At 46.6% G+C, this 19,739-nt stretch overlaps 1 protein-coding gene across 1 annotated transcript in view; it reads left to right on the plus strand.

Moving 5' to 3' along the window:
• The window catches only part of PODXL2 (podocalyxin like 2), a 43,618-nt gene that overhangs the window by 12,294 nt on the left and 11,585 nt on the right, over window positions 1-19,739 (plus strand). Inside the window, exon 3 of the mRNA NM_015720.4 lies at window positions 18,900-19,681. Coding sequence (NP_056535.1) covers window positions 18,900-19,681 — 782 coding nt within the window. The remainder of the gene's footprint in view (window positions 1-18,899; window positions 19,682-19,739) is intronic.

Genomic DNA, 19,739 nt, shown 5'->3' on the forward strand with positions numbered 1-19,739 from the left:
GATTATAGCTGTGAACCACTGTGCCTGGCTTATAACTTGATTTTTTTTTCTTGAGACGGAGTTTTGCTCTTGTTGCCCAGGCTGGAGTGCAGTGGTGCCATCTTGGCTCACCACAACCTCCGCCTCCCAGGTTCAAGCGGTTGTCCTGCCTCAGCCTCCTGAGTAGCTGGGATCATAGGCATGTGCCACCATGCCCGAATAATTTTGTATTTTTTTTAGTAGAGACAGGGTTTCTCCATGTTGGTCAGGCTAGTCTCGAACTCCTGACCTCAGGTGATGTGCCCACCTCGGCCTCCCAAAGTGCTGGGATTACAGGCATGAGCCACCGTGCCCAGCCCTGATTTTTAACAACTACGTTATATTTCATCATGTGGGTCATCAGGTGTATTAAACTGGTTCCCTACTGTTGAATACTTAGGTTGTCTTCAGTTTTAATTCTGCTACAAATATCCTTACACATTTTCGCACCTTCCTGGTGGTTTCCTTAGGATAAATTTCTAGAATAAAATTGATAGGTCAAAAGATGTATTAGGGCCGGGCACGTGGCTCACGCCTGTGATTCCGGCACTTTGGGAGTTCGAGGTGGGCAGATCATGAGGTCCGGAGTTCGAGACCAGCCTGGCCAACATGGTGTAACTCCGTCTCTACTAAAAATACAAAAATTAGCCAGGTGTGGTGGCGGACGCCTGTGAACCTAGCTACTCAGGAGGCTGAGGCAGGAGAGTTGCTTGAACCTGGGAGGTGGAGGTTGCAGTGAGCTGAGATTGCACCACTGCACTCCAGCCTGGGGGACAGAGCGAGACTCCATCTCAGAAAAAAAAAAAAAAAAAGATGTATCAGTCAGCATCCCACGCGGAAACAGAAGACACAATCAAATTAAAACAATCTAAGGAGAGTTTGTTTATGAAGCAGCAGATTTATGAAGGTATGGGCTGGATACAGGTGAACTACCAAAGGACTCACAAGTCCTTTGGCTAAGGATCTGTGGCTAGCAACAGCTGAGTGCTTACCATCTCTAGGCACAGTGAGACCAGGGAAGGGATGAAGATGGGAGCCTGCAGGGAAAGTGGTGTAGAGAGGTGGCCAGATATGGGAGGAGACGAAGAGAATGAACGCCGCACCCCCCACCAAGTGTTCTCTCTTTCCCTTGTCAGTTTGATAGGAAAAATTATAATGGCCTTTGATTACTAGTATATTTTAACTCATATATGTACAAAACATATGTGTACGTTCATTATATACAGAATATGTGTATTCTATAGAATATACATATACACAAAAATAGTGACCACTTATCACTCTTCTTTTTTATTTGAAGCACAGTGTAGTTAAGAGAACAGGCTTTGGAGTCAGGAAGGCTCCAGTGCTGTCATTTAACAGTGATGCAATTTTTGGCGAGTAACTAACCCTAAGCCTCAGTTTCCCATCTAGGAAATGGAGATAATTATATACCTACCTCACAGGGTTGTGAGGTTCACACACCATCATACATTTCGAGCACTCAGCTCAGTGCTTGGCACATTGTTAAGTGCTCTGTGACTATTAGCTATTATTATTACTTTCCTGTTTTTTTCTATTGAGTCTTTAATTTTTTCTTATCCCTGTACAAATCTGAAAAAGGATACTAACTTTCCTCTGACATACGTAGAAAACATTTTTCCAGTTTGTCAACTGCTTGTATTTTTATTATAATTTTTGGCATAAAGAAATTAAATATTTTATAAGCTTAAAATTACTTTTTTTTTCTTCGAGATGGAGTTTTGCTCTAGTCACCCAGGCTGGAGTGCAATGGTGTGATCTCAGCTCACTGCAACCTCTGCCTCCCAAGTTCAAGCAATTCTCCTACCTCAGCTTCCCAAGTAGCTGGGATTATAGGCATGTGCCACCACGCCCAGCTAATTTTGTATTTTTAGTAGAGATGGGATTTCACTATGTTGGCCAGGCTGGTTTCAAACTCCTGATCTCAAGTGATCCACCTGCCTCAGCCTCTCAAAGTGTTGGGATTACAGGCATGAGCCACCACACCCAGCAAAATTACTTCTTTTAAAATGTTTTTATGTGTTTTTCTTTACTTTATGATTAGAAAATACTTTCTGCCCTTGAGATACATGCACCTTTCTTCCTTCTATTCTTTTTTTTTAATGTAAATTCTTTTTTTAAAATTATTTTTATTTTTTGGACACAGGGTCTCGCTTTGTACCTCAGGCTGGAGTGCAGCAGCACAATCTCAGCTCACTGCAGCCTTGACCTCCTGGGCTCAATCGATCCTCCTGCTTCAGCCTCCCAGGTAGCTGGGACTACTGGTGTACCCCACCACGCCTGGTTAATTTTTCTGTTTTTTGTAGAGACAGGGTTTTGCCATGTTTCCCAGGCTGGTCTTGAACTCCTGGGCTCAAGCAATCCACCTGCCTCAGCCTCCCAAAGTGCTGGGATTACAGGTGTGAGCCAGCACGCCTGGCCCCTTCTATTCTTTAGCTTAATTTTTTACATTTAAGTCCAATCTAGCTGTAATTTATTTTTGTGTGTGGTGTAAGATAAGGATCTAATTTCATTTTCTCCATATAGATCATCTATTGTCATGGCGGCATCCATTGATAAATCTGTCCTCTTATCATTTTAAAGAAATGATATTTTGTTGCTGTTGTTGTTTTGAGATGGAGTCTCACTCTGTTGCCCAGGCTGGAGTGCAGTGGTGTGATCTCTGCTTACTGCAACCTCTGCCTCCGAGGTTCAAGTGATCCTCCTGCCTCAGACTCCCTGGTAACTGGGATTACAGGCGTGCCACCATGCCCAGCTAATTTTTGTAATTTTAGTAGAGGTGGGTTTTACCGTGTTGCCCAGGCTGACTGAACTCCTGACCTCAAGTGATCACCCACCTTAGCCTCCCAAAGTATTGTGATTACAGGTGTGAGCCGCTGTGCCTGGCCAAGGAATGATTTAAACAAACTTTTACATTGTACCAGACAATTATTGGGTCTTTTTCTGGCCTTTCCCTTTTGTTGAGACTATTGAGCGTCTAGTGTGAGGTAAGCAGTCACGCAGAGAGCATTGGCCTCAGGACCACAGTGGAGGGCCCTGAAGCCTTGATGAGCTCGATTTGTTGTCCTCCCCCCTCCCCAGGGGATTCGTTTCCCTTTCTTTTTCTTTCAGTTCATGTCTCTTCCTCTCCCATTTCCTTCCCTAGGTCTCATAAGAATAAAAATAGCTCTCATTCATTGAATACCGGCTATGCATAGGCCTTTGCCTCGATTGTCTCTAGTCCTCACCACAGCTGCATACAGCTTGGCTGTGAGGTGGAGATACCAATCACCCTACCCAGGATGGGCAGAAGGCTAGGGAGGTGCAGGGAGGAGGCCAGGAGGCAGAGGAGGTGCAGGGAGGAGGCCAGGAGGCCAGGCAGGTGCAGGGAGGAGAGTTGCTTCAGTCCTGTCCCTCATTGCTCCTCTCTTGACCTGTCCCCTCGCCTTACGTTTCCTCAGGTCAATCTCTTCTCTGTACTACCTGACCATGATCCTGTGAAAAAACTGGAGTTGCCCATCTTCTTCTCAAACAAACTAGCAAACAAACCCCTTCTCAAACCCCAAAGCCCACAGGTTAAAGGCTGAACTTATTAGCATGGCAGAAAATGCTCTTGATAGTCCGGCCCCAGCCTTCCCCAGCCTCTTCTCCTTCCTTGCTCCAGCATGCATCTGATTAGCTCATCATCAGCTTGTTCTCTTCCTTGCTTGGCAGAGTTGAACTGAGGCATGGGGAAGTAGGGTGCTTTGCCCAAGGACACATTGCTTGGATGTAATGGAGCTGGATCTAGAGTCAGTGTCTTCTCACTGACAACAGCCTGGCCTATTCCCTAAGCCTGTGATGCACTTGTTCCTCTTGTCCCATCTGCTGGGAAGCTCTTCTCCATCCTGATGTGCTAGTGGATATGTATTCGTCCTTGAGTACCTAGCTCAAGAGGACTAGCTTCAAGAGGCTTTTGCCAGCTCTGACCAATGAGCAGGACCAGTGCACGTGGTTATGCTGGTGGTGCCCTGTCCGGGGCTCCTGACCGAGCATGGGAGTTGGAGCTGAAGTCCAGCATACACCCTGCCAACCAGGCCATGGGCTGGGTGGGAGGAGCACCTTTTTCTAATTCATTTGCCCAGAGGGGACATCTCCGTGTACTGGCAGTGGCCCTGAAATCAGGCTAGTGACCCCTGCTTCTGTTTTCTTGCAGCACCTTGATGGCATATGATTAGGACATGACAGAAGAGAAAGTGGCTAAGGTGGCAGGCTGACAGCGAATAGTCAGGCTGGTGTAGGAGGCAGCCCAGGGGACAGTGGCGTGCCCTACCCCCCTATTCTTGTCTGCTCTTGTGCCCCGGAGCCACAGGCTTCTGTCTAGGGGTTCTTGGGGAGAAGGAGGTGGATCACCTCTTGGGGGTTGGAGGAGTCAAAAGAACCTTGAGAGGGCATGCCTGGGTTGGGAGTCCTGCAGAGTCCAGATTGACTGTGCCAAGTGCTATCCTAACATGGCCATTAGGGACATTGAACTCCATGCAGCAGTAGCAGGGACTGCTGAAAACCATGCTGCAGACAGGCCAATCTCAGATCAAGTACAAGTACATCAATCAATGTATTCAACACCCAGTATGTGCCCAGCACTATGTTAGGGGTTGTGGGTTCTCATTTAACGTCCACTGAAAAATGTAAGTATATATTCTTACTTCCATTTAGCTGATAAGCAAACCTGAGGCTTAGGGAGTTTGAATTTACAGCCCAGCAAGTAAATGTAAGAATCAGGATTCAAACCCAAGTTATTAGACTCCAAAGCCTCTCTGCCCTGTCATGTCACCTCTCAGCACAGTGATTTTGCTGGAGACTAGCACTAATGTCATATTCTATGTGGTACTTATCACCATTTTTCCATAGATTTTTTTTTTTTTTTTAGATGAAGTCTCACTCTGTTGCCCAGGCTGGAGTACAATGGTGCAACAGTCTTGGCTCACTGCAACCTCCGCCTCCCAGGTTCAAGTGATTCTCCTGCCTCAGCCTCCCAAGTAGCTGGGATTACAGGGGTGCACCACTATGCCTAGCTAATTTTTGTATTTTTAGTGGAGACGGGGTTTCCCCATGTTGGCCAGGATGGTCTCAAACTCCTGACCTCGTGATCTGCCCGTCTCGGCCGCCCAAAGTGCTGGGATTGCAGACGTGAGCCACCACGCCTGGCTCCATAGAATTTTGAGTTAGCTCATTTGGACTTCACAACCATTCTGTGAGCTCAGCCAGGTGGCAGTTATTCTCTTTGCTTGACAAATGGTGAGCTGGGCCAAGGGAGGTTCAGACCTTTGCCCAAGGCCACACAGCTTGTGTGTGGCAGAGCCGAATCTGGAGTCGGTATCCCTGAGCACTGATGCCCTGGGCCTGGCTTCTTGCCAAGGGAGCACATTGATGACACATGTGAGACAGGAAACCAGTCCATTCTGTCACTAGGACTTTGTCATACATCCCATTTCTAGTGTGTTGGGCCTCAGGTAGAGCTGATGCCTTCCTTCTCCATCTGTAATGATGGTCCCCGGGCCCAGTGGGAAAAACAGCTGGTGGAGTTTCTGCTTGGTGGATAATGAGCAGTGTGACCTTGAGTGTGCTGCTTTTCTAATGTTGGCTTCAGTCTCTTCATCTGCAAAATGAGACCTGGGAATAATAGATTGAAGTCTTTGCAGCTTGAAAATATTATGATTCTGTGACATTTCAAGTGAAAAGAGCAACCTCAACAAAGCAGGGAAAAAAACATGGAATGCGAATTGCTGCTCCACCAGCTAGCATCAAGTGAAGTTACAGCCTGACCAGTTAATTCATGCACAATTGTTAATGATTAGGAGCAGTCTCTCAGGTTACCTACTCATTCGAGACTGTCCCCACTGACCCCTCTAGCCCTTTCATTTTCTAAGCTCCTTAAGGAAATTGTCTTGCATGCAGTTTTAATTTTCCTAGTGAGTGAGCAAATTAAAGTGTTCTGCAAGAAACACTTTAATCTTTGGGGTTGGCAAGTCCTAGATACCCAACTCAGACAGGCTCACGGGCCTGTCTGATAAAAGGGGACTTTATTGGCTGAAGAACGGGGGTCCAGGAACAGGCTTCCAGCTCCAGCACTCGGCGTGCCGCCCTCAACGTGCTGGAGCCTGCCCTGTCCCATCAGTCATGCTCGGCTTTCCCTTGCTGGCTTCGTTCTCAGGCAGGCTGGTCCTGGGCACCGGCTTGGAGAGCCCAGTAGCTCCACACTGTCGTCCCATCACTCAGCACCCCGCAGAAAGGGAGCTCTGCCTTCCCAGCACTTCAGGAACAGTCACTGGATGGTCTCCCTGAGTCCCAAGCTTGGGGATGGAATTTGACTGTCCAGGCCCATGTTGAGCTGTCCCTGAAGCCAGGGGACATTCCAGACCAAAAAGAGAGGAGGAATGTCCCCCAGAGTAGAATTGAGGTGCTATTAACAGAAAGAGAGCATGAGACAACAGTACTGTGCTTGAGTAGGGAACACTCATAAAGTGCCTATACTTCATATGTCATTTTCACTTGGATTTTTTTTTAACCTCACAGCAACCTGATGAAATCTGTAAAAGCAGGCATGATTAGATCACTGTTTTACAGCTAAAGAAGCTGGCTGACAGAGATTTAAAAGTGGCTCTAAATGACATAGTGGCAGAGCTAAATCTCAAATCTGAGAGTTCTACTTCAAGATCTGCTGCTCCCCTCAATACAAAGTCCTTCATTAGGCTACTTTAATTATCATTGCCGTAATCAATTTTGGAGAAAGCAGACCGACCGAGCAGCTGTCTGCTGGGACCTGGAGCTGGTTCCTGTACAGCGAAGCCTTGTTGTGATTGTGTCTGCTGTAGAATGATTTGACCTTCTGGGTCATTGCCCACACATCAGGTGTATCCATGTCCTTAGGATGGGCCGATAGCTGTGGAGCCTGTGGACAGAGCAACAAAGAGAGCACTTTTACTTAGACACCAAAACAAAAGCCTTGTCATTCTTGTTCTGTGCTAGTAATAAATATCAACATATAAAAATTTAAAACAGCAATTAAAAGAAGAAAATAAAAATCACCTATAATCCAGTGATTCAGTCAGTGAATGTTAACGTTTTGGACTATCTCTTTCTGGACTTTTTTTTTTTTTTGAGACAGTCTCACTCTTTGCCCAGGCTGGAGTGCAGTGGTGTGATCTTGGCTCACTGCAACCTCTGCTGCATGGGTTCAAGTGATTCTTAGTCTCCTGAGTAGCTGAGATTACAGGTGTGTGCCCCTATGCCCAGCTAATTTTTGTATTTCTTTTTTTTTTTTTTTTTTTTTTTGAGACGGAGTCTTGCTCTGTCGACCAGGCTGGAGTGCACTGGTGCGATCTCAGCTCACTGCAATCTCTGTCTCCCGGATTCAAGCAATTCTCCTGCCTCAGCCTCCTGAGAACTGGGGCTGCAGGCAGGTGCCACCACCCCCAGCTAATTTTTGTATTTTCAGTAGAGACGGGGTTTTGTCATGTTGGCCAGGCTGGTCTTGAACTCCAAACCTCAGGAGATCCACCTGCCTTGGTCTCCCAAAGTGCTGGGATTACAGGCATGAGCCATTGCACCCAGCTCTTTCCAGACTTTTTTTTTTTCCTTTATAGGACATATATAAAAATATGCTTTTACAAAAAATGGACAATAGTGGACACTGTGGTATACACATCTTGCTGTTTCACTTAGAAACCTCTTTCCAAGCCAGCACACACAGCTCTGCAGCCTGTTCAAGGCTGCCATGGTCTCCCAGTATAAGGCGGGTCTATCATTTCTTTGGGCAGTCCCCTGCCATGTGGGTGCTGGACCCCAGTCTTCTGCTACATGGACTGTGCCATGATGGGGATCTATAAAGCCACATGACTGTGAGCGTCCCTAATCGTCTCCTTAGGGTACCTTTCCAGAAGTGAGATTGTAGGTTCAGAATATTTGTCTTTAAAGCTTCTCGTTCCTGTGACTCAGTAGCTCTCCAGAAATGTGGCCTGCTTTCCTTCCCATCCCTCACCCTTCCAATACTAGGCATGAATGACTTTGAATGTATACATATACTTGTCAGGTTGGTAGTCCAAAGATTTTGGCATTTTGCAGTTTACTTTATATTCCTTTGATGACTATTGAGGTTGACTATCAAAAAGTAGTTTTAAGCCAGGCATGGTGGCTTACGCCTGTAATTCCAGCACTTTGGGAAGCCGAGGCGGGTGGATCACCTGAGGTGAGGAGTTCGAGACCAGCCTGGCCAACATGGTGAAACCCCGTCTCTACTAAAAATACAAAAATTGGCTGGGTGTGGTGGTGGGTGCCTGTAATCCCAGCTACTCAGGAGGCTGAAGCAGGAGAATTGCTTGAACGCAGGAGACAGAGGCTGCAGTGAGCCCAGATCACACTGCTGCACTCCAGCCTGGACACCAGAACAAGACTTTGTCTTAAATAAAAAAGTAGTTTTAAGTTATACTAAAACGTCTTCCCTTGCACCTCTGTTTTAGACATATTTATTTTTAATTTTGAGTGTTTTTATATTAACACTCAGTTGGATAACTGACTTGAGAGTTGTAGTGAGGGGACAATTTTCAGTGACTTGACATTAACCTAAAGGGACATTTAAAGTGATCTTTCAAGGGCTCTGGCCCTTATGCCTGTTTTAATTCTGTCTCTTGAATAGAAGAATCAGTTCATTGATATTTCAGCCTGTGCTGAAGTTCATCCCTGGGATTATGGCTGCCCTGAGAGATAGAAGTAAAGTCCAGAGTGACTTCGATAAACTGGGGAAAGAAACCTATACAGAACTGTGATGAAATATAGGAGGGAAAAATGATCTATTTAGGGAACAAAGCCAGCACCATAATGAGTTTAAAAGAAAGCGGAGAAATAAGGCCTAGGGGACCCAGGCCTGGGGCTTCATCAGGGTGAGCTGGAGCTGCATCTGAGCCAGCACCAACCCATCACAGGGGGCGCGGGAGAGCTCAGCTTACCAGCTGTGATAAATGACAGTAGTGCCACTGGAGTGGAGAAACCCCTTTACATTTTGCATCAATTAGTCTCAAGTTAGTGAATCTTGTTCAGTTTTCAATAGTTCATTCAGCAAATATTTACTGTGTACCCCCTGTGCTGATTTTGTAACACTCTTTTTTGTTTTTTGTTTGTTTTTTTTGTTGTTGTCGTTGTTGTGACGGAGTCTTGCTCTGTCGCCCAGGCTGGAGTGCAGTGGTGCGATCTCGGCTCACTGCAAGCCCCGCCTCCTGGGTTCACACCATTCTCCTGCCTCAGCCTCCTGAGTAGCTGGGACTACAGGCACCCACCACCACACCCAGCTAATTTTTTTTTGTATTTTTAGTAGAGACGGGGTTTCACCGTTTTAGCCAGGATGGTCTCCATCTCCTGACCTCGTGATCCACCCACCTCAGCCTCCCAAAGTGCTGGGATTACAGGCGTGAGCCACCGCGCCCAGCTGTAATACTCCTAAAACTGTGGTGAGGCTGGGTGCGATGGCTCACACCCGTAATCCCAACGCTTCGGGAGGCCGAGACGGGTGGATCACCTGAGGTCAGGAGTTCAAGACCAGCCTGACCAACATGGTGAAACCCCATCTCTACTAAAATACGAAAATTAGCCAGATGTGGTTGCGGGCACTTTAATCCCAGCTACTCGGGAGGCTGAGGCAGGAGAATCGCCTGAACCCAGGAGGCGGAGGTTGCAGTGAGTTGAGATCGTGCCATTGCACTCCAGCCTGGGCGACAGACTAAGACTCCATCTCAAAACAAACAAACAAAAAACACCAGGGTGAATCCAGAGTTTTCACAAGAGAAGGATGAAAACAGAAAGGTTGAGAATAAAGAATAATTACAGTTGTTTAGCCCCAGGAAAAGAAGCTAGGTTTAGGGGCAACTAAGAGACTATGTACATTGTTTCCTCTGAAGGCGGTGCTAGCAGGTGCTGCTCACTTACCAGATGAAACAGAGATGGACTTGAGTTGTAAAGGAACCATCACAGCTGGGTTTAGGCAAATGGGGGTGTAGGGGTAAGTCAATAACACAGAAATGCCTCTCTAAAGAGACCCAGCCATATTCTTGAAGATAATTGCCAGCCCATCTTCTCTAGACTCACCAGTGCCTGCCAGAGGGCTGAGGCCTCGTCAGGTAGCCTCCTGTGGTCCCTTCCCGTGTTAGGACCCTGACCCTAACCACGGATACACCTGCCGTGAGCTGGGCTGTGTGGATGCTGAGAGGAGCAGAGAACATGGAGTGTGACAGAAGGAAAGTGTGCCTTCTGTGGGCTGGGTGTTTTGCATTCCTGATGCCACTTCATCTTTGTAACAACCTGAGGTATTAGCCTCACATCATGGAGAGGTGGGTGTGTGGCACACAGAGGCAAGTGGCCACCCAGAATTCCAGCCCATGCCTCCAGAACCCTGAAGCTTGGCCTGGGGCTCTTAACGCCAGCCACTCTTGTGATTCAAGCCCAGCTTTAAGGAGGTTGGCTGCGGCCACAAAGGTACGGGCAGACTGGGGAGAGGTCATGATTCTGCTTGTCAGCTTGCTCCTGTCCAGCATCCCAAGCCAAGCCCGGGTGCTGGACTAAATGACCAGGATGTGTCAAAAGACACTGGCTTTAACCACACAAGAGTCTAAGAGTCTTACAACTTTACAACTGTGACAAGTCTAGCATCACAACTTAGAGCAAGAATCCTCCTCTCCTGGGCTCCCTCATGTGGAAAAGGCGAGAGATGGGCCCTTTGCTCTTGCAGGGCCTCTGTCTACCTGTAAAATCCCTGAGTCTGGGATTTGGAGACCCAACTGTTCTGAGGGCTCTGGGGAACATGTGGTTTCTGTTTAGAGCCACCAGGGGGGGCTGTGACTTCACAGTGCCATTCCCAGCAGTTCTGGGAGGGTCGGGAGCCCAGGAGCCTAAGTGTTATCCTGCAATCAATCCAGGAGGTCCTCCAGGGCTCTCCTGTGCAACGAGGGGGTCTGCCCCAGGTGTCTTCTGAGCTGCAGCTTAGACATTCGTGGCCTCCCATGCTCCGAGGCCCAGCCCGAGCCTCTCCCTGGAGGGCTTGAGCCTTGGATGACCTTTCTCATCCTTCAGTGCCCCAGCTCTTCCTGAGGACAGGGATGAATCCATGGAGCCAGCCCTTAGACTTCCACGTGTCTCCAGTGTGTCTCCCGGGCGGCTCGGCTTCCTCACACCTGTGTCCAGGTGTGGGGCTCTAGAGGTACACCTTGGTCCCAGACACGCTTTTGGGGTTTGGCTACAAACTAAAAGGGCTTCGTGGAGGGACCCTTCTCCTGAGCCTGAAGTGGATGGGGTAGGAAGGGATTCCCTGGAGCGCTCAGCTGGTCAGACCCTCCCTCTGGAATCAGAGCTGTCCACGGCAGCAGGGCTGAGGGTGTGGGCATCAAGGACTTGCCCTGGGTCACTGAGGGCAGGCTGGGAGGGCAGGTAGCCCTGTCATGTGTCCCCTCTCTCCTCCCTCTCCTCTTGCCTCTCCCCTCTCTTTACTCTCCTCATCTTCATCTCCCTCCTTTTCCTGCTCAGCTTCACTTCTTTGTTTCTCTTCTTCCATTCCCAATTTGATCCTTTTTCACCTCCAAAGTGCCTGCTGAGGCTTCCTCTCCCCTCTCAATGCAGCGAGTCCCTAGAAGCCTGATCTGTATTCCTTGGACACCTGAGTGGGAAAAGCACCTTCCTCCCTGTCTCTCAAAACTGTCTCACCTGCTTCAGGGCGGTGTGGCTCCTTCCTGCCACAGGGCTCTGCGCTCTCAGCCAGGATAGCCTGCCCTGTCCCTTGCCATGTTTCTATTCCCCTCTTGACAGCTCAAGCATGTTCGCTGACCTGTAGTGAAAGTCAGTGTCTCAGGCCGGGTGCAGGGGCTCTCTCCTGTAAGCCCAGTACTTTGGGAGGCCAAGGCAGGCAGATCACGAGGTCAAGAGATCAAGACCAGCCTGGCCAACAAGGTGAAACCCCGTCTCTACTAAAAATACAAAAAATTAGCTGGGCGTGGTGGCGTGTGCCTATAGTCCCAGCTACTCAGGAGGCTGAGGCAGGAGAATTGCTTGAACCCAGGAGGCGGAGGTTTCAGTCAGCCAAGATCGTGCCAATGCACTCCAGCCTCGGTGACAGAGTGAGACTCCATCTCAAAAAAGAAAAAAAAAAAAAGAGAGAAAGTGTCTCTCACATGTGCACGCTCTCTCTGTTACTCCTTATTTTAAAAAATTTTCAATTTACAGAAAAGTTGCAAGAATAATTCCGTCCACCCCTTGCTCGGACTCCCCCATTATTAACACTTTGCCGCAGTTGCTGTATCAGTGTGTATGTGTACATGTATGGATATGGAGATGCAGATCTGTACTTCTTGCTAAACCATTTAATGGTAAGTTGCAGACATGATGCTCCTTTGCTCCAAATACTTCAGTGTGCATTTCTTAGGAACAAAGCATTCTCCTAAAAACCACAGCAGGATGATCAAAATCAGGAAATTAACACTGATACAATATGCTTCTGTAATTACAAACTTTATTCAAACTTTGCCAGTTTTCCCAGTAGTGTCTTTTATAGCAAAAGAAAAAAAGAGCAGGGTTTCATAGTCCACTATCCGGTCCAGAATCACGTACTGCATTTAGTCCGCATGTCTCTTTTGTCTCTTTTTTATTCTGGAAAACCCTCTAATCTTTCTTTGTCTTTCATGACCTTGACATTGTTGGAGTGCAGGCCAGTTATTTTGTAGATTGCCCCTCAATTTCAGTTTGTCTCAAATTTCCCCATGGTCAGATTCAGGCTCTGCATTTTTGGCAGGCATATTGTGGACGTGATGCTGTATCTTCTTAGTGAATCGTACCGTGGTTCTGCTCTTGGGTAAAGCCTGGCTTCTTCACTCTTTATTCTCAACTCCCATTTGGATCCAGTCTCACGGGCCCTCTCCTGGGACCCCTGCTTTCACACTGCTGGTGTTTGCCCTGCAGCTGCCCACACAGACGCCCCTCACCCCACTGGTTCCTAGTGTGTGCTCCCATCAGGCCTCCCGGTAATTCTGTTTCTGTTTTAGGAGACATTTGTAATACTGAAATCATATTTACACTTGTCAACAGATGAGTAATCCCCTCCTGCCCTGCCCTTTTTCCTAGATTTTCTTTGACTTAAAACTCAAGTGCTTAGGCTTTAGTTACATTCGGTATAAAAAATGAAAAATAAAAACTCAAGTGCTTATCCTGCTCCTCATTCTATGGAGACACTTCCACTTTTCCTGTTATTATTTTACCAGGTAATAACTCCTTTAATAATAATAATGGCAGGCGGATGGCCAGGTGCGGTGGCTTACGCCTATAATCCCAGCACTTTGGAGGGCCAAGGTGGGCGAATCCACCTGAAGTCAGGAGTTTGAGACCAGCCTTGCCAACATGGCAAAACCCCGTCTCTACTAAAAATACAAATTTTTCTTTCTTTCTTTTTTTTGTGAGACAGAGTCTCACTCTGTCACCCAGGCTGGAGTGCAGTGGTGCAATCTCGGCTCACTGGAACCTCTGCCTCCCGTGTTCAAGCGACTCTCATGCCTCAGCCTCCCAAACAGCTGGGATTACAGGCACCTACCACCACACCTGGCTGATTTTTGTATTTTTAGTAGAGACGGGATTTCACCATGTTGGCCAGGCTGGTCTTGAACTCCTGACCTCAGGTGATCCACCCCCCGCTTGGCCTCCCAAAGTACTGGGATTACAGGCATGAGTCACCATGCCCAGCCATAATACAAAAATTAGCTGGGCTTGGTGGCAGGTGCCTGTAATCTCAGCTTCTCTAGAGGCTGAGGCAGGAGAATTGCTTGAACCTGGAAGGTGGAGGTTGGAGTGAGCCGAGATCACACCACTACACTTCAGCCTGGGCAACAGAGTGAGACTCTGTCTCAAATAATAATAATGATAATAACAACAACAATAATAATAGCAGGAGGAGGTGGAGGACCCCCCACAGTTAACTGAGTGTTTACTCTGCACTGCGGACTGTGCGCAGGGTCACCTCACTGAACCCTGACCAGAGCCCTGTGTGGCAGGTACTATTTTTATTTTACACTTAAGGAAAGGGAGACACATGGAGGTTAAGCAGCATGTCCAAGATCATACAGCTGATAAGCAGTGAAACTGAGACCACACTGTAAAAAGAAAAGGAATAATTTTAGATCTTGAGAGCTGGTAAGGAAGTAGGAAAGGACTGCTGATTCCAAGTGCCAGTGAGCAAGCGTTCAGTGATTTGTCAAGTCACTGGAGTGAGAGGCTGGAAAAAAGCGAGGAGCTCTGGAGAAGATGTAAATTTGGGAGCCTTTAGCATAGAGAAAATAGATGCAGCCTGTGGAATGAGCACTGACCAAGGAAGAAGTGTGGAAATGATGAGTCAGAGGCTGACCCTGGAAGGGACTGCATTTTGGGAGGCAGGAGAGGAACTCATAGAGACAGTAAAGAAGTCTGTGCAGTGACGGGAGGGCCTCTTACCCCTTGGAGGCACAGGCCCTGGTTTTTAGGAGGCAGAAGAATTCAAAAACACACGTTGCTCTCCTTTCTACTCTGGGCCAGGCACTATGTTAGGTGCTGGGAATGTAGGGATGAAGACAATTGCTTTGCTTGGCATCAAAAATTTGTAATCTAGTGAATCCTATTTTATTCTTACTTAAGACACTAGAGTTGTTTGTAATGCCATTGGTGTATAAGACACATTTATCAGAACTATATCCAAAGCTTAAAATATCAGTGATATGAAGAACCTTAGAAATCATATATACCATCATCCTCATTCCACATAAAAACTGAAGCCCAGGCCAGGTGCAGTGGCTCATGCCTGTAATCCTGGAACTTTGGCAGGCCAAGGCAGGAGGATCGCTTGAGCCCAGGAGTTCAAGACCAGCCTGGGCAACACAGGGAGACCCCATCTCTACAAATAATAATTTTAAAGAATTAGCCAGGTGTTGGGCGCGGTGGTTCACGCCTGTAATCCCAGCACTCTGGGAGGCTTTGGTGGGTGGATCATGAGGTCAGGAGTTCGAGACCAGCCTGGCCAACATGGTGAAACCCTGTCTCTACTAAAAATACAAACATTAGCCGGGCGTGGTGGTGCATGCCTATAGTCCCAGCTACTCAGGAGGCTGAGGCAGGAGAATTGCTTGAACCTGGGAGACAGAGGTTGCAGTGAGCCAAGATCGCGCCACTGCACTCCAGCCTGGGTGACAGAGCAAGACTCCATCTCAAAAAAAAAAAAAAAAAAAAAAAAAATAGCTAGGTGTGGTGGTGTGTGCCAGTAAGTCCCAGCTACTCAGGAGACTGAGGTAGGAGAATTGCTTGAGCTCAGGAGTTCGAGACCAGCCTGGGCAGTGTAGAGAGACCCTGTCTCTACAAATAATAAAAAAATTTAGCGGGGTGTAGTGGCCCTGTGGTCCCAGCTGCTTGGGAGGCCGAGGTGGGAGGATCACTTGAGCCTCGGAGTTTGAGGCTGCAGTGAGCCGTGATTGCACCACTGCACTCCAGCCTGGGTGACAGAGTGAGACCCTGTCTCAAAAGCAGAACAAAACCTGAAGCCCAGAGAAGTTGGAGGGACTTACCACTGCGTGCGCAGATAAGTTAGTGGCTGAGTCCCAGATCATGCTGCCGACAGCGTGACTGATGATGCATCTCTGAGGAGGCTGTACACAGTTTAGGGAGTTCTGTTGGTGCCCTCTGGAGATGTTGATGCTCTCTCTGACTTTTGGAAAGTCAGCACCAAATTGAGTAGAGAGATCGTTTTAGTCAGCTTGCCCTCCCAGGACTTCCCCACCCCATGGGATTCTGCTGATGGGTGTGTCACCATCCACCATATTCCTGCCATATCCTAGGCTGCATTGAATCCATCAGCTATTTTAAGTGCGTCCTGAAGGTTTCCAATACTCCTTTCCTCTGAACTTCACCATCTCTATTAATGGCTTGGCTACTCCCGCAGCTTCTCCCTGTTGGCCATCTAGCTCACGCATCTGATTACTTCTCTTTCAGAGTCATCTCTTGAGTCTGCTCTTTTCTCATCATCTCCAGTGTCATCACCGCCATGCATCTCTCCCGAATCACTGCAGCAACTCCCTGACTCTTCTTTGCACTTTCATTCATCTACTCCTTCACCTAATCTTGTAAATTGCTGTCAGATTAATCTTCCAATAATGAAATATTATGCTTGTAAGTGATTTCATATATTGTATTTCCTAGGCACCCATCTGACTCCTATTCTGTTACCCAGTATTCCTATCAAGTAATCATCCAGCCCATTTCAGTTATGTTTTCATGCATTATATCTTAATTCTGGATAGATCTGGCTATTATAAAGTTCTTACTTACATTGAGGTAAAATATATTTATTCTTCTATATACTTGTTTTGTGGGTGTGATTTCCTCCTGAATCTTTCTGAAGATATTAACAAGAAACTTTTCTGAATTCTCTTTTGTTAACTAGACTAACTTTTCCTAGAGGTCAGTTGCTTTATGGTCCCACCCTTATGCTTCTTCATCAGGCTGGCTTTCTTAAAATGTCTTGTGAATCTTGGTTGTTCTTTCTTTCTTATTTATCTGTAGTGACTTCACTACAGAGTGTGTGCAGTAGGTGGAAGAGGGGGAGGATCTGCTACTCAAAAAGTCTAATTAACAGAAGTGGACTGGATAGAATATTCTAATTATTGATTTAAATACTATAGTGGGCTTTCAGTTGTCACTAGGATTGTTCAGCTTCTAAGTCATACTTTTTATTACAGGGAATCAATTTTTCTTTTTGAAATAATCGTTCTCAGAGCTCTCTCTGTGTGTTCTAATTTGAACCAATTGCTTTCCAGGCTTACTGCACAGTTTCCATCCTGAGATATATTTTCATTGCATTCCTCTCATGTTTCTTGATTTCCCATGTCTTTTTTTTTTTTTTTTTTTTTGGTTTCTTAAATAACTTACTTAAATCTCTTGGAATCTGTGGATAGTAACACTTTTAAATCTTTGCATGTATGAGAATGTCTTTATTTTGCAATCACACTTGAGTAGTCATTTATTTGGATATAACATTTCAGGTTCAAAATAAACATCCCTCAGATTTTTCAGTGCATTTTTAAATTCTTCCTCTAGGCTACTGATATTAATTAGAAGCTTCATGATAATTTGGTAATCTGTTTCTTGTTCCTTTACAGATAACCTGTTCTTTCTCTGAGAGCTGTTAAGATTTTCTCTTGCTCCTTATAATTCTAAAATCACATGAGAATGAGGCTAGGTGTAAGTCTTTTATCATTCACCTTGATGATACAAGCTTTCATTGCAAAGATTCATGTTGCCAGCTCTGAAACTTTTTTTCTTTGTTTCTCTCCATTATTCTCCATTTTGTTGGTTCTATCTTTCCAGAAATCATATTAGCTAGGTATTAGATCTCCTACATTGGTTGTCTGTATCTTTTAACTCTTATCTGTTGTCTTCTCACTTTTGCCCTAGAGGCTTTTCCTTGACTTTTTTTTTTCCCAGCCATTAAAAATTTGAATTTTCAATCCGTTGAATTTTTAAATATCAACTATTGACTTTCAATATCCAAGAAATTTTTCTTTTTTAAAGATTACTTGATTTTCTGAGTGGCGTCTTATTTTAGGGATGCAATATTTTGTAATCTTTCTGAGGATACTAATTAGACTTTTAAAAATTACCTTCTGTTCTCTGAATTTTCTGTGTTCTACATCCTTGCTCCCACAGTTGTGCCTCTTCCTAACTCTGGGTAAGAAAGCCTGCCTCCTCCCCTGCTATTTTTTCCTATGTTTATTTTGGCTGAGGGGTTATCTGTTCCTATAATCTCATCTGCTTTCCATGTTCCCAGAAATTTCTCTAAAATGTTTTTATCTTCATTTTGACAGTTAAAATTGTTTTTGTCATTTGATAAAAGTTTTGGAGGAGGAGGTAAATGAATACCTTTAGTTCGCTATCTTAAAGTGTTCCCACCACTCTCCTTTCTAAAGAGTATTTTAAAACTACAATATTTATTATTTTGAAACAAAATGGCAGCCAATAAAAGTTGCTTCCTAGATACAGCTTCTGATATTTTGAATGAATTTCCAAAAAACTTGTTGTATAACTTTCATGCATAGTTATTTGGAAGAGGCCTAGGGTTCATTGAAAAGCCAGAAAACAATCTGATCTCCAGGAAGTCTCCTAACTTCTCTGCTTCAAAATGTAATTCCCAAGAATGGCAGGGAGAATAAAAACCCCTCTCCCATTGCCAACAGTGACCCTGAACATTCTGGGAGGCCCTGGAAAACTCTGGGCTCAGCCCCTGGCCTCTCTCTGGCTCTCCCTACATCTTTTTCATTTCCTGTCAGGGCCTAAATTACAGAAAAAGAGCACAGTTGAGGAACAATGGTCATAATTGAGGGGTCTCACTTCCTCCAGTGATGAGAGGGCTCTCAGACCTCCTTCGGGGACTCCACCAAGAAGACTCTTATAACGACTCACTAGAAAAGGAGTAGGGGGACCCTTCCTAGTGGGTTGTTGTGGGATCTTCTTGGTGAAATCCCCAGATGAGGACAAGCAAGCACATTACAAACACAGTGGAGAATATATACCTCAAACTACTCATGGCTCTTTTGGAGGAATGCAATATACAAAACTTTCTACATTCCTGTGTTCATTGAGTTTTGGTGATAAATTTGTATTATTTTATCATCATAAAGGAAACAGTGACTAGCCTTGTCCCTGTGTCCTCCCACAGTCTGCTCCCCTGGCCTCTCCATCATGACCTGATGACCCCTGCCCTGTCAGTGTATTGTGGTTCTTTTATGCCATCTGCCCAGTAAATACTGAGTAAAGCAATGAATGATGAAACAAGTGAATGAACTTTTCATCTCTGTCCTTAGATTATGTTTTTCCTGACTTAACTGAGAAGGCAGGTTCCATTGAAGACACCAGCCAGGCTCAAGAGCTGCCAAACCTCCCCTCTCCCTTGCCCAAGATGAATCTGGTTGAGCCTCCCTGGCATATGCCTCCCAGAGAGGAGGAAGAAGAGGAAGAGGAAGAGGAGGAGAGGGAGAAGGAAGAGGTAGAGAAACAAGAGGAGGAGGAAGAGGAGGAGCTGCTCCCTGTGAATGGATCCCAAGAAGAAGCCAAGCCTCAGGTCCGTGACTTTTCTCTCACCAGCAGCAGCCAGACCCCAGGGGCCACCAAAAGCAGGCATGAAGACTCCGGGGACCAGGCCTCATCAGGTGTGGAGGTGGAGAGCAGCATGGGGCCCAGCTTGCTGCTGCCTTCAGTCACCCCAACTACAGTGACTCCGGGGGACCAGGACTCCACCAGCCAAGAGGCAGAGGCCACAGTGCTGCCAGCTGCAGGGCTTGGGGTAGAGTTCGAGGCTCCTCAGGAAGCAAGCGAGGAAGCCACTGCAGGAGCAGCTGGTTTGTCTGGCCAGCACGAGGAGGTGCCGGCCTTGCCTTCATTCCCTCAAACCACAGCTCCCAGTGGGGCCGAGCACCCAGATGAAGATCCCCTTGGCTCTAGAACCTCAGCCTCTTCCCCACTGGCCCCTGGAGACATGGAACTGACACCTTCCTCTGCTACCTTGGGACAAGAAGATCTCAACCAGCAGCTCCTAGAAGGGCAGGCAGCTGAAGCTCAATCCAGGATACCCTGGGATTCTACGCAGGTAAAGTGAGGGGCATGCGGGCCACCACCCTGTACCTTCTTCACAGAGCCTGGCCATC

This window comes from Homo sapiens, chromosome 3 (assembly GCF_000001405.40).
Source record: "Homo sapiens chromosome 3, GRCh38.p14 Primary Assembly".
In the NCBI taxonomy this organism is placed as follows: Eukaryota; Metazoa; Chordata; class Mammalia; order Primates; family Hominidae; genus Homo; species Homo sapiens.